Source organism: Homo sapiens, chromosome 7, assembly GCF_000001405.40.
Source record: "Homo sapiens chromosome 7, GRCh38.p14 Primary Assembly".
NCBI classification, from domain to species: Eukaryota; Metazoa; Chordata; class Mammalia; order Primates; family Hominidae; genus Homo; species Homo sapiens.
The window spans coordinates 151281519-151297070 of record NC_000007.14 but is presented as its reverse complement, the minus strand read 5'-3'; positions in this window follow the sequence as shown (position 1 = coordinate 151297070).

Here is a 15552-nt window from a genome sequence, read left to right as displayed (position 1 = left end):
ACCTGTAGTCCTAGCTACTTGGGAGGCTGAGGCAGGAGGATTGCTTGAGCACAGGAGGTTGAGGCTGCAGTGAGCTATAATTAGGCCACTACACTCCAGCCTGAGTAACAAAACGAGACACTGTCTAAAACAACAACAACATAGTTTCACAAAAAGATTTGTACAAGAATGTTGCAGCATTTTGTTTTTTTAATAGCCCCAAAGTGGAAACAATCCACAAGTTCATCAGAAGGTAAATGAATAGACAAATTGTGGTATATCCACACAATGGAATACTATTCAGCAATAAAAAAGAATAAGCTATTGATATATACAATTACACAATAAGTCTCAAAATAATTATTCTGAGTGAAAGAAGCCATACCAAAAACACATACAGTGTGATTTGATTTATATAAAATTCTAGAAAATGCAAATGAGTCTATACTGATAGTTCAGTGGTTGCCTGGGGATGGTGGGGGAGGACATAGAAAGCAATGGATTACCAAGGGACACAAGGAAACTTCTGGGGGTAATGGATACATTCATTATCTTGATTGTGGTGATGGTTTCACAATAAATACGTATGCCAAAATTTATCAAATTGTATATTTTAAATGTGTGAAGTTTATTACATATCAATCATACCTCAGTAAAGCTGTAAAAAAATTACTAGGCATACCAAAAACAAGACCAAATGAGAGAGAACCAAGGGGAGAATAGAAAAGGGAAACAGGTTCACAGGTGATCTAGATATTGGAGTTATTAGATGTAGATTTTTAAATAAATATGTTGACATGGTTTGGATCTGTGTCCCCAGCCAAATCTTATGTCAAATTGTAATCCCCAAGGTTGGAGGTGGGACCTGGTGGGAGGTGATTGGATCGTGGGGATGGTTTCTTGTGGTTTAACACCATCCCCCTTGGTGTTGTCACAGTGAGAGTGAGTTATCTTGAGGTCTGGTTGTTTAAAAGTGTGTAGCACCTTCCCGCTCCCTCCCTTCCTCCTGCCCTGGCCTTGTGAAGACATGCCAGGTTCCCCTCACTTTCCACCATGATTGTGTTTCCTGAGGCCTCTCCAGCCATGCTTCCTGTACAGCCTGCAGAACCATGAGCCAATTAAGCCTCTTTTCTTTATAAGTTACCCAGTCTCAAGTTTTTTTGTTTTGTTTTGTTTTGTTTTGTTTTGTTTTGTTTTGTTTGAGACAGAGTCTCGCTCTGTCATCCAGCCTAGAGTCCAGTGGCACAATCTGGGCTCACTGCAACCTCCGTCTCCCAGGTTCAAGCGATTCTCTCACCTCAGCCTCCCAAGTAGCCGAGATTACAGGCATGTGCCACCACACCCGGCTAATTTTTGTATTTTTAGTAGAAATGGGGTTTCACCACATTGGCCAGGCTGGTCTCAAACTCCTGACCTCAGGTGATCCGCCTGCCTCAGCCTCCCAAAGTGCTAGGATTACAGACGTGAGCCATCATGCCTGGCCAAGTATTTCTTTGTAGCAATGTAAGAATGAACTAATGCATACGTTCGAGAAGATAAATAATTATTAAAGAATATTTAAAAATAATATTTTCAAGAAAATAGGAAGGAAAAGGTGGGGAGTATTGTTAGAAACCTCAAATCTAAAAAAAGAGAATAAAAAACATAAACTGAACAATAAAATAGCTAAATTCAAGACTCTAGTAGATGAATTCAACAGCAGACGAGAACTGCAGATAAGAGGCTTTGTTAACTAAAAGTTAGCTCAGTAGAAAATATTCATATTGAAGGACATAGGCAAGGGAGAAAAAAATAAGATATAGAAAATGGTATAACAGACACATGAGACCCAGTGAAACAGCCTAATATACATGATTCTGGTGCCCCAGAAAGACAGGAGAGACATTGAAGCAGAAATAACATAGGAGGGGATAGTGGTCAAGAGTGTTCAAAAAATGATGAAAGATTTCAGTCACAGATTTAAGAAGTTCCATATGACCTGTAAGCAGGATAAATACAAAGAAAACCATGCTTGGTTCCACTGTAGTAAAACTGCAAAAAGCCAGAGTCAAAGAGTAAATCTTAAAAAAACAGCCAAAGGAAAAAAGAAAAAGATATATTACCTTCAAAAATAAAGGCAAAATAAAGTTGTCTTTTTTTTAATAAGCACGCCAACAGAATTTTTGCCAGCAGACCTGCAGTAAAGCAAATAATAAAGCAATTTATTTGGGAAGAAGGAAAATGATACCAGATGGAAGCACAGTAATGCAATGAAGAATAATGATCCTGGGAAAGAATAAATAGGTGGGAAAATCTAAATCTAGATCCTGTAAGGACTAAATGCCTGTCCTTGGAGTACCAAGTAACGGTGCAGCATGCGCTGTTCATCATGAGCTGAGTTTACCTAATCCACCAAGTCATAAAGCTGAATGTGTGCAGCTTGCATTGCATAGCAGCTGTAAGAATAAGCTCGCTCAGGTCCAGAAGGTACAAATAATTGCCCGGGTCAGCAGCTCAAACTTTAATGGTATCCACTCCTACTTTTTTGCTACCTCTCCCTCAACTCACAACTATGGCTTCATAGTGAGTTCCCTCTGCCTACTTAATAGACGATGAAGAAAAATCAATCTATTGTTTACAGAAGGGTCATCAGATGGAAGTGTATGACCACTGCACTAAGTTCCATGCAGAAATGGGCCCAGAAGACAGTAGTGAAGGGAAAGCCTCCCAGTAGACAAATTTTAGCCAATCTAGTTGTCTGCTTTGCTTTGGAGGCAAGATGGCTTAGGGTATGGCTCTACATTGACTAATGGGTAATGGGTAATAGATTGTGTGGCTGGTCAGGAACTTTGGTCAAAGCCAGAAGACTGGTGACCAGGAAGTCTGGGAAAGAGGTATGTGGACAGAGGTCCCAGAATGGGCACCACATGAAGATACTCATGTATCATGCACATTCCCATCAGAGTCACCCACTGCAGAGGAGGCTTTCAATGATCAGGCTGATGAAATGATCAATTCCTCCTGTGAATGTCAGCCAGCTTGTTTTTCCCCTACCCAATCCTTCCTCAGTAGGTACCCGCCACTGGGGCTCATATGGATGCCATTACCATTGAGTTCCCAAACTGCTAAATACTAGAAATAACCAACATTGAATCCCTGACATTGCACCATCCACAGGAACCAGCCAGCCCCCTGGAAATAGGTTGATGCTAACTTTGTATCACTCCTTCATGAGGCGGCTATCAATTTGTCCTCTTAAGGATGGAGTCCTTTGGAGTAACTAACAGAATTTTATTATTAAAACAAACAAACAAAAGAAGAGTGGAGTCCTATTCCAGATACAGACTTGCTTTCCCTACTTGCACTGCTTCTGCCAGTCCCACTGTTTGAAGATTTCCAGAATGCCCTATTTATTGTCATGGTAACCCCTACAACATCATCTCCAACCAAGGAACTCATAATAACAAAAGACCTGTGGCACTGAGTTTATGCCCAGAGAATCCACTGGTCTTACGCTGTGCCTATCGCTCAGTTGCAACTGTGTGGGTGAATCTGGGAAATGGCCCACTGAAGGCTCAGTTATGGCACCGAGTGGAGGACAGAACCCTGTGAGGCTGGGGTGCTCCCCTAGACGATGTGGTAGATACTTTAAGCCAATGGCCAAAATATGGTGCTGTTTCCCCTATAGCCAGAATACATAGGTTCCTGTTCTTTGAGAGAGTATTCCTGGAGACTCAATTTATTTGTTCTGAGGGAGATGCTGGAGATTTGAAGAGAGTGGAGAAGGCAGGAAATAATCATTTAGGAGTAGAATGGCTGGGTCATATGGGAGACATGTCAAGAAGCTGCCAAGCCTTTTTCAGTATTTGCTCTGCCTTCCTGCCAGTGCTTGGGTTGGTCAGTCTTCTTGATTTTAACCAATGTAATGGGTGTGAGTTGGGTCCTTTTTTTTCAAAATTTTTTGTTGTAGTAAAATACAGATAACATAAAATTTATCATCTTAACCATGTCTTAAGACAAAGTCTTGCTCTATCTCCCAGACTGGGGTGCGGTGGTGCAATCATAGCTCACTACAACCTTGAACTCCTGGGGTCAAGGAATCCTCCCACCTCAGCCTCCTGAGTAGCTAGGACTACAGGCGTGTGCCACTGGGCTTGGCTAACTTTTAAAAATTTTTCTTAGAGACAGAGTGTCACTCTGTTGCCTAGGCTGGTGTCCAACTCCTGGCCCCAAGAGATTTTTCCACCTCGGCCTTCCAAAGTGCTGGGATTACAGGCATGAGCCATGGTAAGTGTTCTCTCTCAATCACTTTTTTTTTTCTTTTTTTGAGACAGAGTCTCGCTCTGTTGGCTAGGCTGGAGTGCAGTGGCACGATCTCGGCTCACTGCAACCTCCATCTCCCGGCCTAAGCAATTCTCCTGCCTCAGCCTCCCGAGTAGCTGGGATTACAGGTGTGTGTCACCATGCCCGGCTAATTTTTGTATTTTTAGTAGAGACGGGGTTTCACCATGTTGGCCAGGCTGATCTCGAACTCCTGATCTCAGGTAATCTGCCCACCTCGGCCTCCCAAAGTGCTGGGATTACAGGCGTGAGCCACCGCGCCCAGCCTCAGCCACTTTTAAGAGAGAACACATCTTGTTTTCACTCCATTGGAAGCTGAAGCCTCCTACTGGCCAGGTTGGGCTTCTCGTGCTGCTGAATCCATAGGTGTCAAAGGGGGTCACCATACTGCTCAGGTACCCAGTTACCAAGGGGAATTGGCTGCTGCTGTGGAATAGGGGTAAAGAGAGTTCTATCTGGACCAGAGCACTTGCTGGGGCGACTCATAGTTGTTCCTGTCCAATAGTGATGGTCAGTGGCCACAGTGGCAACCCCATAAAGATAGGGCTGCTAAGGGCCGGGCACGGTGACTCACGCCTGTAATCCCAGCACTTTGGGAAGCCGAGGCAGGTGGATCACGAGATCAGGAGATCAAGACTATCCTGGCTAACATGGCAAAACCCCATCTCTACTAAAAATACAAAAAATTAGCCAGGCGTGGTGGTGGGTGCCTGTAGTCCCAGCTACTCAGGAGGCTGAGGCAGGAGAATGGCGTGAACCCAGGAGGCAGAGCTTGCAGTGAGCCAAGATCGCACCACTGCACTCCAGCCTAGGCGACAGAGTGAGACTCCATATAAAAAAAAAAAAGACAGAGCTACTAAGAACTTGTATCTTGTGGGGATGAAGATTTGGGTCAACCAAGGAGGTAAAATCAGAGCAGCAGAGATGCTGCTTCCACCAGTGGGTGGAGGAAGGAAGCCAAAAGGATCAACATCAACTTAGGTCTTATGACCAGCAAGATAGAGCTTTTTTTTCCCTTCCCTTTTTTTCCTGTTACTTTATATGAAGAGCAGCCCTGGTCGCTAACATTATTGCTTTGGCTCCTATTGGGAGTATGATTGAACTGAAATCACCAATAATCCAGTGGCTGATGGGACTTTGTGTTTCCCCTGGGTGGGGGTCATGGGATTTATTCCTCTAAGCAAGGGACAGAAATGCTTTTTGTCCCTCCTGATCCATTCTCTATCCTTCTCCTGCTTCATTTATGCCCAAGCAAGCTGACCTCTACAGACTGCATTACCCCAGCTCTCTTATCTTCTGGCTTCTGGTTGGATTTGCCAATGCAGGCCCCAGCAGAAGACTGGAGGTGTGGAGGAAAGGTGAGTCATGGGATTTATCCTGATTTTGGCAGTGGCTGCATGTCCCCGTAGTTCCTATGACACACACCCTCTTCCATGGTCTCAACTCCAACATGGTTCTGATAGCACAGCCCTGCTCCTTGCCCCTTGGTCTCCCTTTGGTGCTGGGGTCTGGGTGCTTTACCATCATCGTTGGTTCCCTTAGCCCTGCCCACCTCTTGTTAAGGGGCCCTTCATTACTGCTCTTTAACTAAACCCTCTTTCTGTGCCACATCCTTCCTACCAGGAGTCTGACTGGTCCTGGGACCTTTAAGAATTCAGCTTTGCCAAAGCACAAAGTTCAAGGTAGGAAGAAATGGTAAGAAATGAAGTGTACAGGGCAGGCGCGGTGGCTCACGCCTGTAACCCCAGCATTTTGGGAGGCCGAGGTGGGTGGATCACGAGGTCAGGAGATCCAGACCATCCTGGCTAACACGGTGAAACCCCATCTCTACTAAAAATACAAAAACAAAATTAGCCAGGCATGGTGGTGGGCACCTGTAGTCCCAGCTACTCAGGAGGCTGAGGCAGGAGAATGGCGTGAACCCGGGAGGTGGAGCTTGCAGTGAGCCGAGATTGCGCCACTGCACTCCAGCCTGGGTGACAGAGCGAGACCCCATAAAAAAAGAAAGAAAGAAAGGAAGGAAGAAAAGAAGAAAGGAAGAAAGAAGGAAAGAAAGAAAGAAAGAAAGAAAGAAAAAAGAAAGGAAGGAAGAAAGGAAGAAAGGAAGAAAGAAGGAAAGAAAGAAAGAAAGAAAGAAGAAAGAAAAAAAAGGAAGGAAGTGTATAGGGAGAGTGATCAATTATAAGAAGCTTTGGATGCTGTGATAACGTCAGCTACAAGGCATTGGGCAAGTTACCTAACCTCCCTTACCCTCAGTGTCATCACCTATGGAATAAGGGCAATCATCAGACATGCCTTTTGGAGTGCCTATGAGGATCAACGTAAAGAACACACATAAAGCACTCAACACAGTGACAGCCACAGCCAGGGATCGACAAATGTGAGCTGATTATTGTTAGGGATGGTGGCTCACGGCAAGATTTTAAGCAAGGAAGTGATCAGGGCCAATTTAGTAGTTCAAGAAGTTACACTAGAGGAAATGTAGAGAAGCAGTGAGGTTTGTCAGAGGCCACATGAAGTGCAGCAAGACTAGAGGCAGGAATACCAGTAAGGAGACTACCACACCAGTCTTAGCAAAATAATAACAAATAAAATACAATTATGAGGATCACCCCAATAAGGAATTAAACTAAAAAAGAGGAAGACATGGAATACAAGAAACAAGAATTCTGACGCAACACCTGGGGCCTATAGATACTTGTGTTTTGCTGAAGCATCAAATGTGAGGCTGCCCCTCCCCCAGTTCCACCTTCCATTGACTGAGATCCAGGCAGAACCCTCCTACATCTCTCTCTCTGCCACCTCCCCCGTCTTAATTCCTGATCATTTGGCTTTTTATTTTTTTATTTTATTTTATTTATTTATTTATTTATTTTTGAGACAGAGTCTCACTCTGTTGCCCAGGCTGGAGTGCAGAGTCATGATCCTGGCTCACTGCAACCTCCGCCTCCCAGGTTCAAATGATTCTCCTGCCTCAGCCTCCCGAGTAGTTGGGATTATAGGCACACACCACCACACCCAGCTAATTTTTGTATTTTTAGTAGAGACAGGGTTTCATCATGCTAGCCAGGCTGGTCTTGAACTCCTGATCTCAAGTGATCTGCCCTCCTCAGCCTCCCAAAGTGCTGGGATTACAGACATGAGCCACCACACCTGGCCAATTCCTGATAATTTGAATGTCCATGTAGAGGATCCTTCCAGGACCCCAGCCTCTCAGTTCCTACCCTCCTCTCCTCCAATGAGCCTGCCCTTTATTCTCCCTTCGCATCTCATCTCCCTAGCCTTACCCTAGACCTCTTCATTACCAATGACTGCAGCCTTTCCACACCTAAATAACCATTCCACACCTGCTCTTCTCCTCAAACCTCCAAAATCTCCTCCCCTATCCTCACGCTCAGTTGATAATTTTGCTTCCTATTTCACTGAGGAAATAGCCATCAGAAGAGAACTTCCACATGCTCCCACAACTATGCCTCACACCTGCCTGTTTGGTGCCCATATAAAACTCCTTCCCCACGTTCTCTGCAAAGTCATCCCCAGAGACCCTGATTTCATGGGTCTGAGGTGTACTAATGGCGATTTTTTTTACAACTTGATTTTTTTCTCCAGGTGATTCTAACATACATCCAAAGTTGAAAACTGCTGCTATAGATGAATGACTCCTGCTTTGTCTCAGGCTTACTCAAGAAAACTGCCCCAACTGTTGTCTTCTCCCTCCCCCAGCATCATCAATGTTTCCCTCTACTGGCTCATTCCCATCAGCTCACAAACATGCTGTTAATTTCCCCACTTTAAAGAAACCTTTGCAACCCCATTTCTCCCTCCAACTCCTCTTCACAATAAAACTGCCCTAAAGGGCTCTCTCTAGTTGCTGTCTATAATTCCTCTTCTCCCCTTCTGGCTTTGCCCTACAGACCCATCGAAACTTTCACCAAGGTCAACAAATGACCTCCTCATTGCTACAGGCAACAGCCAAGTCTCAGTCTTCAACTTACTGGGCCACCAGCAACACGTGACATGGTCGATCACTCTTCTCCCTAGAACGCTTCCTCTAGAGTTGGTTTCTAAGATGCCACATTCTTCTTGTGGGTCCTTCTCAGCCTCCTTTCCTGGCTTTTCCCTGTATCTGACCTCTTAGTGTTGGAATGCCCTAGGACTCAGGCTTTGGGCCTCTTCTCTTTAAATGTTCATTCCCTTGGTGAGCTCACCCAGTCTCATGGTATAAACTACCAGCTAAATGTTGACTCCTAAAAGTGTATTTCCAGCTTAAGCTCCAGCCTCCTACATCCAAGTGCCAGCTTGACATCTCTTTTGGATGTCCAATAAGCATCTCAAACTTATCCTCCCAACCTTCCTCATGTGAGTAACAGCAGCCCCATGCTTCCAGCTGGGATCAGGCCACATCTTTAGGGCCATCCTACCTTCTGTCTTTCTTTCATACCCATGGGCAATCTGAGAGCAAATCCCACTGGCTCTACTTTGAAAATATACTCAGAATCGAACCTTTTATTCAAAACATACTCAGAATCCAGTCCATCTTATTCAAACCAGCCATTGCCTCCTACCTGAGTGATGGCACTGTCCTTCTAACTGGTCTCCCTGCCTTGAGTTAAGGGCCATAGACTGTGTCCCTCACAGTCTATGCTCAGTATGGCAGCAGACTGGCCCACTTACATGAATATCAGATCATGTCTATCCTTGCTCAAAATGCTACAGTGGCTTCCCATCTGATTCAGGGTGAAGGACAAAGTCTTTTTTTTTTTTTGAGATAGAGTCTTGCTCTGTCGCCCAGGCTGGAGTGCAGTGGCGCGATCTCGGCTCACTGCAAGCTCCACCTCCCGGGTTCATGCCATTCTCCTGCCTCAGCCTCCCCAGCAGCTGGGACTACAGGCGCCTGCCACCACGCTGGGCTAATTTTTTGTATATTTAGTAGAGACGGGGTTTCACCGTGTTAGCCAGGATGGTCTCGATCTCCTGATCTTGTGATCCACCCGCCTCGGCCTCCCAAAGTGCTGGGATTAGAGGCGTGAGCCACCGCACCCGGCCGGGACAAAGTCTTTAAATACCCACAGAAAGGCCTGTACAACCCATCCTCTTCACTGCCCCCTACACATCGAGGCCATTATCTCTCCGACCTCACAGTCCATCAGCCACATTGCTGTTCCTCTAACAGGCCCTGAAAATCAAGGGGCGTTGTACTTCGTTCCCCTCCAGCTCCCATCCTTCAGTTAAACTTCTTATGTGGGGATAATTATAGATTGACATGCATTTGTAAGAAATAATGCAGAGATGTGTATTTTTTGTCCAGTGTCCCCAGTGGTGACATCTTGCAAAACTATAGCACGGTATCACAAGGAGGAGAGTTGTGTTGGTTTCCTGTAGCTGCTGTAACAAATCACCACAAACTGGGTGGCTGAAAACAAGATAAAGCTACGCTCTCACACTTCTGGAGATCAGAAGCTCAAAGTCAAGGTATAGGCAGGGCTGTGCTTCCTCTGGAGACTCCAAATGGAATCCGTTCCTTGCCTCTTCTAGCATCTGGCAGCTGATCTAATCCTTCTTTCTGTGCTCTGCCTTCCCATCACCTTTTCCTGTGGGTCAGAGTGTGTGTGTGTGTGTGTGTGTGTGTGTGTGTGTGTGTGTGTGTGAGAGAGAGAGAGAGAGAAATCCCTAACAACACTGGTGATGCCATTTAGGGCCCACCCAGATAATCCAGGATAATCTCCTCTCCAGATCCTCAAGTTAATTATATCTGCAAAGACCTTTTTTCCAGATAAAGTAACATTTAGATGTTCTGGGCATTAGGATGTGGACATATTTTTGGGAGCCATTATCAGCCTGGCACAAGAGTGAAGATTCCGGACGTTTCCAGTCTAAGAGAGCTCCTTAGACTGCCCTCTCATAGCCACACCCAGTTCCCTCACACCCTGTCCCCTCCTTAACTCCTGGAAAGCATTAATCCGGTCTCCATCTCTCTAATTTTGCCATTTTAAGAGTGTTATATAAATGGAATGATTGAGTATGTAACATTTTGAGATTGGCTTTTTTTCACTCAAAATGGCTTTTTCACACTTTCAGTTAACTCAAAAAATTGAAATAATTTTTAAATGATTTGGAGGTTCCCCTGTGTAGCTGTGTTTTTTTTCTTTTTATTACTTAGTAGTATGCCGTGGTATGAGTGTGCAACAGTTTGTTTAACCATTTACCCGTTGAAGGAATTTAAGTTGTTTCCAATTTTGGCTATTAGGAATAAAGCTGCTCTGAACATTGGTATGTAGATTTTTGGGGGAACATGAGTTTTCCTTTTTCTGGGATAAATGCCCAAGAGTGCAATTGCTGGGTTAAGTGCATGTTTGGTTTTATAAGAAACTGCCTAACTGTTTTCCAGAGTGCTGTACCAATTTGCATTCCCACCAGCAATGTATGAGTGATTCAGTTTCTCCACATCCTCGCCAGCGTTTGCTGTTGTTACTGGTTTCTATTTTAGCCATTCTGAGAGGTGTGTAGTGTAACAGCTGCTGATGTTGAACATCTTTTCAAAGGCTTATTTGCCATCTGAAGGTCCTGTTTGGTGAAGGTCTATATGTGTTTTTTGCTCATTTTCTAATTGAGTTATCTGATTTTTTTCTAACCTCTGAGATTTAAAATTTCTTTATAGTCTAAATACTAGTTATTTGTTGATACGTAGCTTATACATATTTTCTCCTATTTGTGATTTTTATTTTCATCCTCTGTCACAGAGCAAAAGTCTTCACAAAACACAGGTTTTTTTTTATGAAATCCAATTTATCAGTTTTTCCTTTTATGGATTGGCCGTTTGGTGTCAAGTCTAAGAATTCTTCACTTGGCCCTTAGCCCAAGATCCCAAAGATTTTCTCTTATATTTTTTCTAAAAGTTTCATAGTTGGTTTTTTGTTTTAGTTCTTTTTTTTTTTTTTTTTTCAACAGGCTCTCGTTCTGTTGCTCAGGCTGAAGTGCAGTGGCATGATCATAGCTCACTACAGCCTTGAACTCCTGGGCTCAAGGGATCCTTCCACCTCAGACTCCCAAGCAGCTAGGACCACAGGTGCATGCCATGACCCCTGGCCAATTTTTTCTTAGAGATGTGGTCTTGCTCTGCTGCCCAGGCTGGTCTCAAACTCCTTAGCCTCCTGAAGTGCTGGGATTATAGGCGTGAGCCACCATGCTTGCCCTACAAGTTTTATAGCTTAATCTTCTACATTTGTGTCTGTGATCCATTTTGAGTTAATTTTTGTATAAGATGTGAAGGTTAGGTGTGAAGGTTAGGTGGAGTTTTTTTTTTTTTTTTTTTGCCTTTGGATGTCTGGCTGTTTCAACACCATTTATCGAAAGGCTATCTTTCCTCTATTGAATTACTTTGAACCTTTGTCAAAAGTCAGTTGGGCTTATTTGCATGGGTCTATTTCTGGGTTCTCTCTTCTGTTCCATTGATCTGTGTGTCCATCCCTTTGCTAATGCCACATTGTCTTATTACTGTAGCTATATAATAAGCCTTAACATGGGGTAGAGTGATTCCTCCCACTTTATTCTTCTGTTTTTAAAATATCTTGGGATTTTTAGTTCCTTTGCTTTCCATGTAAATTTTAAAATAATATTCTCTTTATCTACAAAAACTCTTGCAGGGATTTTGATAGGAATTGAATTAAACCTGTATATCAATTTTGGGAGAATTGACATCTTTACTATGTTGAATTTTCCAATCCATCAACTTGCTATGTCTCTCCATTTATTTAGGTTTTCCTTGACTTCTGTTACCAATGTTGTGTAGTTTTCAGCATGCAAGTGCTGTATGTGTTTTGTTAGATTTGCACTAAGTATTTCCACTTTATTAGACAATTGTCAATTATAGTGTATTTTCAATTTTAGTATCTACTTGGTCATTGTTAGTATACAGAAGTATAATTATAATAATTTTGTGTCCTTTATCCTTTTATTTTATTTTTTATTTTTATTTATTGATTTACTTTTTTGGAGACAGAGTCTCGCTCTATCACCCAGGCTGGAGTTCAGGGACACGATCTCGGCTCACTGCAACCTCCGCCTCCCAGTTTCAAGTGATTCTAGTACCTCAGTCTCCCGAGTGGCTGGGATTACAGGCGTCAGCCACTACGCCCAGCTAATTTTTGTATTTTTAGTAGAAACGGGGTTTCATCATATTGGCCAGGTTGGTCTCAAACTCCCGACCTCCGATGATCCTCCCGCCTCAGCCTCCCAAAGTGCTGGGATTGTAGGTGTGAACCACCGTGTTTGGACTCCTTTATCCTTTTATATCTTGTGGTCTTGCTGAACCTATTTATTAGTTCTAGAGGTTTTTTGTAGTCTTATTGGTGTTTTCTGTGTAGACAATCATATCATCTGCAAATTGGGACACTTTTATTTCTTCTCTATTATCTCTATGACTTTTATTTCCTTCTCTTGCCTTGCACTGGCTAGAACTTCCAGCAATATGTTGAAGAAGCATGGTGAAAGTAGACATCCTTGCCTTTCCTCGATTTTAGGGAGAAAGCATTCAGTCTTTCACTTGTCAACCTAGATAATAAACAGAGAGGGAGACTCGCTGAAAGAAAATGATATTTATTTGGGAATAGAGCACTGCAATGGGAATATGCATGCAATAGCAAATTATGTGCATATTCAGGGAAACAAAGGAAGCCTAAGGTTTTTTTGTTCTGTTTTGTTTTGTTTTGAGACGGAGTCTCGCTCTGCACCCAGGCTGGAGTGCAGTGGCGTGATCTCGGCTCACTGCAAGCTCCACCTTCTGGGTTCTCGCCATTCTCCTGCCTCAGCCTCCCAAGTAGCTGGGATTACAGGCACGTGCCACTATGCCAGGCTAATTTTTTGTATTTTTAGTAGAGACAGGGTTTCACCGTGTTAGCCAGGATGGTCTTGACCTCCTGACCTCGTGATCTGCCTGCCTCGGCCTCCCAAAGTGCTGGGATTACAGGCGTGAGCCACCGCGCCCGGCAAGAGTAAGGTTTTTAAAGGAAAAATGAAGAGAATTAACATAATTGTTTTGAGATAATTATCCTTGGCTACAAAAATCAATAACAAGGGTGGCCCCAATTTGAGATTGGACAGGCAGTTGGCAAGTGGATGTCCTCACAGAAGTATTTGTGTGTGTGTAAGTTTACAATGGCCTTTGTGCAAGGTTGTGGTTTCTGCAGTCTTTTGTGATAGTTCTTGTTATCAGGCATTGTGGGTGAGAAGTCTCCCTTAGTGGCCTTACCCGGCTCTGTTTGTCAGGGTTTTTAACACACATGACTCCATTTTGATTCTGATAACTTTCACACACCGGTAAGTGTGATATTAGCTCAAAGTGTTTTGTAGATGCCCTTTATCATGATGAGGAAGTTTCCCCCTTTTCCTATTTTTCTGAGAGTTTTTTTTATCATAAAGAGTTGCTGAATTTTTTTGAATGCTTTTCCTGCATTGCTCAATGTGGTGTGATTTTCCTTCTTCCATCTGTTAATATGGCAGATTACATTGGTTGATTTTTGAATATTGAACCAGCCTTGCATGACTGGAATGAACACCTCACATATTTTTCTTGGCTGTTGTCTATTTCTCCCATTTGATTATAAGTTCTGACTGGGCAGAAACTTTTGTTCATTTTGTTCAGTGCTGTATTCCAGTGCCTACAACAATGCTGGGCATATAGTGAGGACTCAATACTTATTTGCTAAATAAATAAATGAACAGAAGAGAGGTGAACGGAATCCCCAAGGCTATGGTGAAGGGAGACTCCAGGATGACAGCTGTGGGCAGCCAGTCTGATGGGAGATGATGATTGTGGAGGAGGCTGTGCCTATATGGCGGCAGAAGGTTTATGGAAATCTCTGTACTTTCTGCTTAATTTTGCTGTAAATCTAAAACTGCTCTGAAAAATAAAGTCTATTTTAAAAAAAAAAGCTGATCATTAACTCCAGGGAAAACAAAAGGGATCCAGGAAAAAAAAATACTCATAGTTTACTATCTGGCTCAGCCAGGGAGGGGAAGGTCCAGGTTGTGGGGCCGTAAGCTTATATGACTGGGGAGGGGACTATTTAAGAAAAGAAAAACACTAAATCAAAAATAAATCTGATTTAACCTCAGAGCAATTTCTGAACATTTTTTCTTATTATTATTTTTTTTTTTAGAAATAGGGTCTTGCTCTGTTGTCCAGCCTGGAGTACAGTGGCATGATCAAAGCTCACTGCAGTCTCGAACTCCTAGGCTCAAGAAAATTTTCTGGAATTTTTGACCTGATCTGTGGGGATATTTGAGGGACCATCAGGAATAGAGTGGGAGGTGCTGAAAGTCTTCCGGAAGCGGGCCCAAGAGCTCCAGGAGGTATGGCAGCCAGCCAGAGAGGTTAAGAGCTTTGCCTGCCGGTGCCCCATGGCCCAGGACAAGCCCACACCTCTGTGAGCATCTCAGAGCCTCCGCCTCAGCCATGCCCCTTGCTGGCCTTGTTTCCCACCCCAACACGCTGGTGGGTCCACAGGCACACTGCCCACTGTTCACACCCGTGACAGCAGCTCAGGCTGCTCCTCACAAGACAGGATCTCTCCTACCCTTCTTGCCTACCGGTAGTGACTCAACGGCCCCTCAACACTCAGCACCAAGGCTGCCTCTTCTGTGAAATGTCCCCACCCTCCAGCTCCCACTCCCTTCCCCAGAGGCTGCCAGTTGAGGGGGAAGAAGTCTGACACATGTGGATTTGAATCCCAGCTCTGCCACTTTCTGGTTATGTGGCCGCAAACATGTCACAGATCTCCCTGGGCTCTGTGTCCTGTCGTCTGTAAATGTGAATAATAATGTCCACCCTGCAGGGCCATTGGAAGATCAAACACTTGCCACAGAGCCCAACAGGTGGTGGGTGAATAAACACTCTTTCCATCCTTCTAGCATGTTTTCCCTTTTTTTTTTTTTCTTTGAGATGGAGTCTTACACTGTCGCCCAGGCTGGAGTGCAGTGGCACATGGCTGACCGCAACCTCCACCTCCCGGATTCAAGTGATTGTCCTGCCTCAGCCTCCCGAGTGGCTGGGATTACAGGCATGTGCCACCATGCCCCACTAATTTTTGTATTTTTAGTAGAGGAAGGGTTTCGCCATGTTGGCCGGGCTGGTTTCAAACGCCTGACCTCAGGTGATCTGCCCGCCTCAGCCTCCCACAGTGCTGGGATTACAGGCATGAACCACTGCGCCCAGCCTTCACTTATTATTTTTGTAAAACTTGGTAGAATACACAT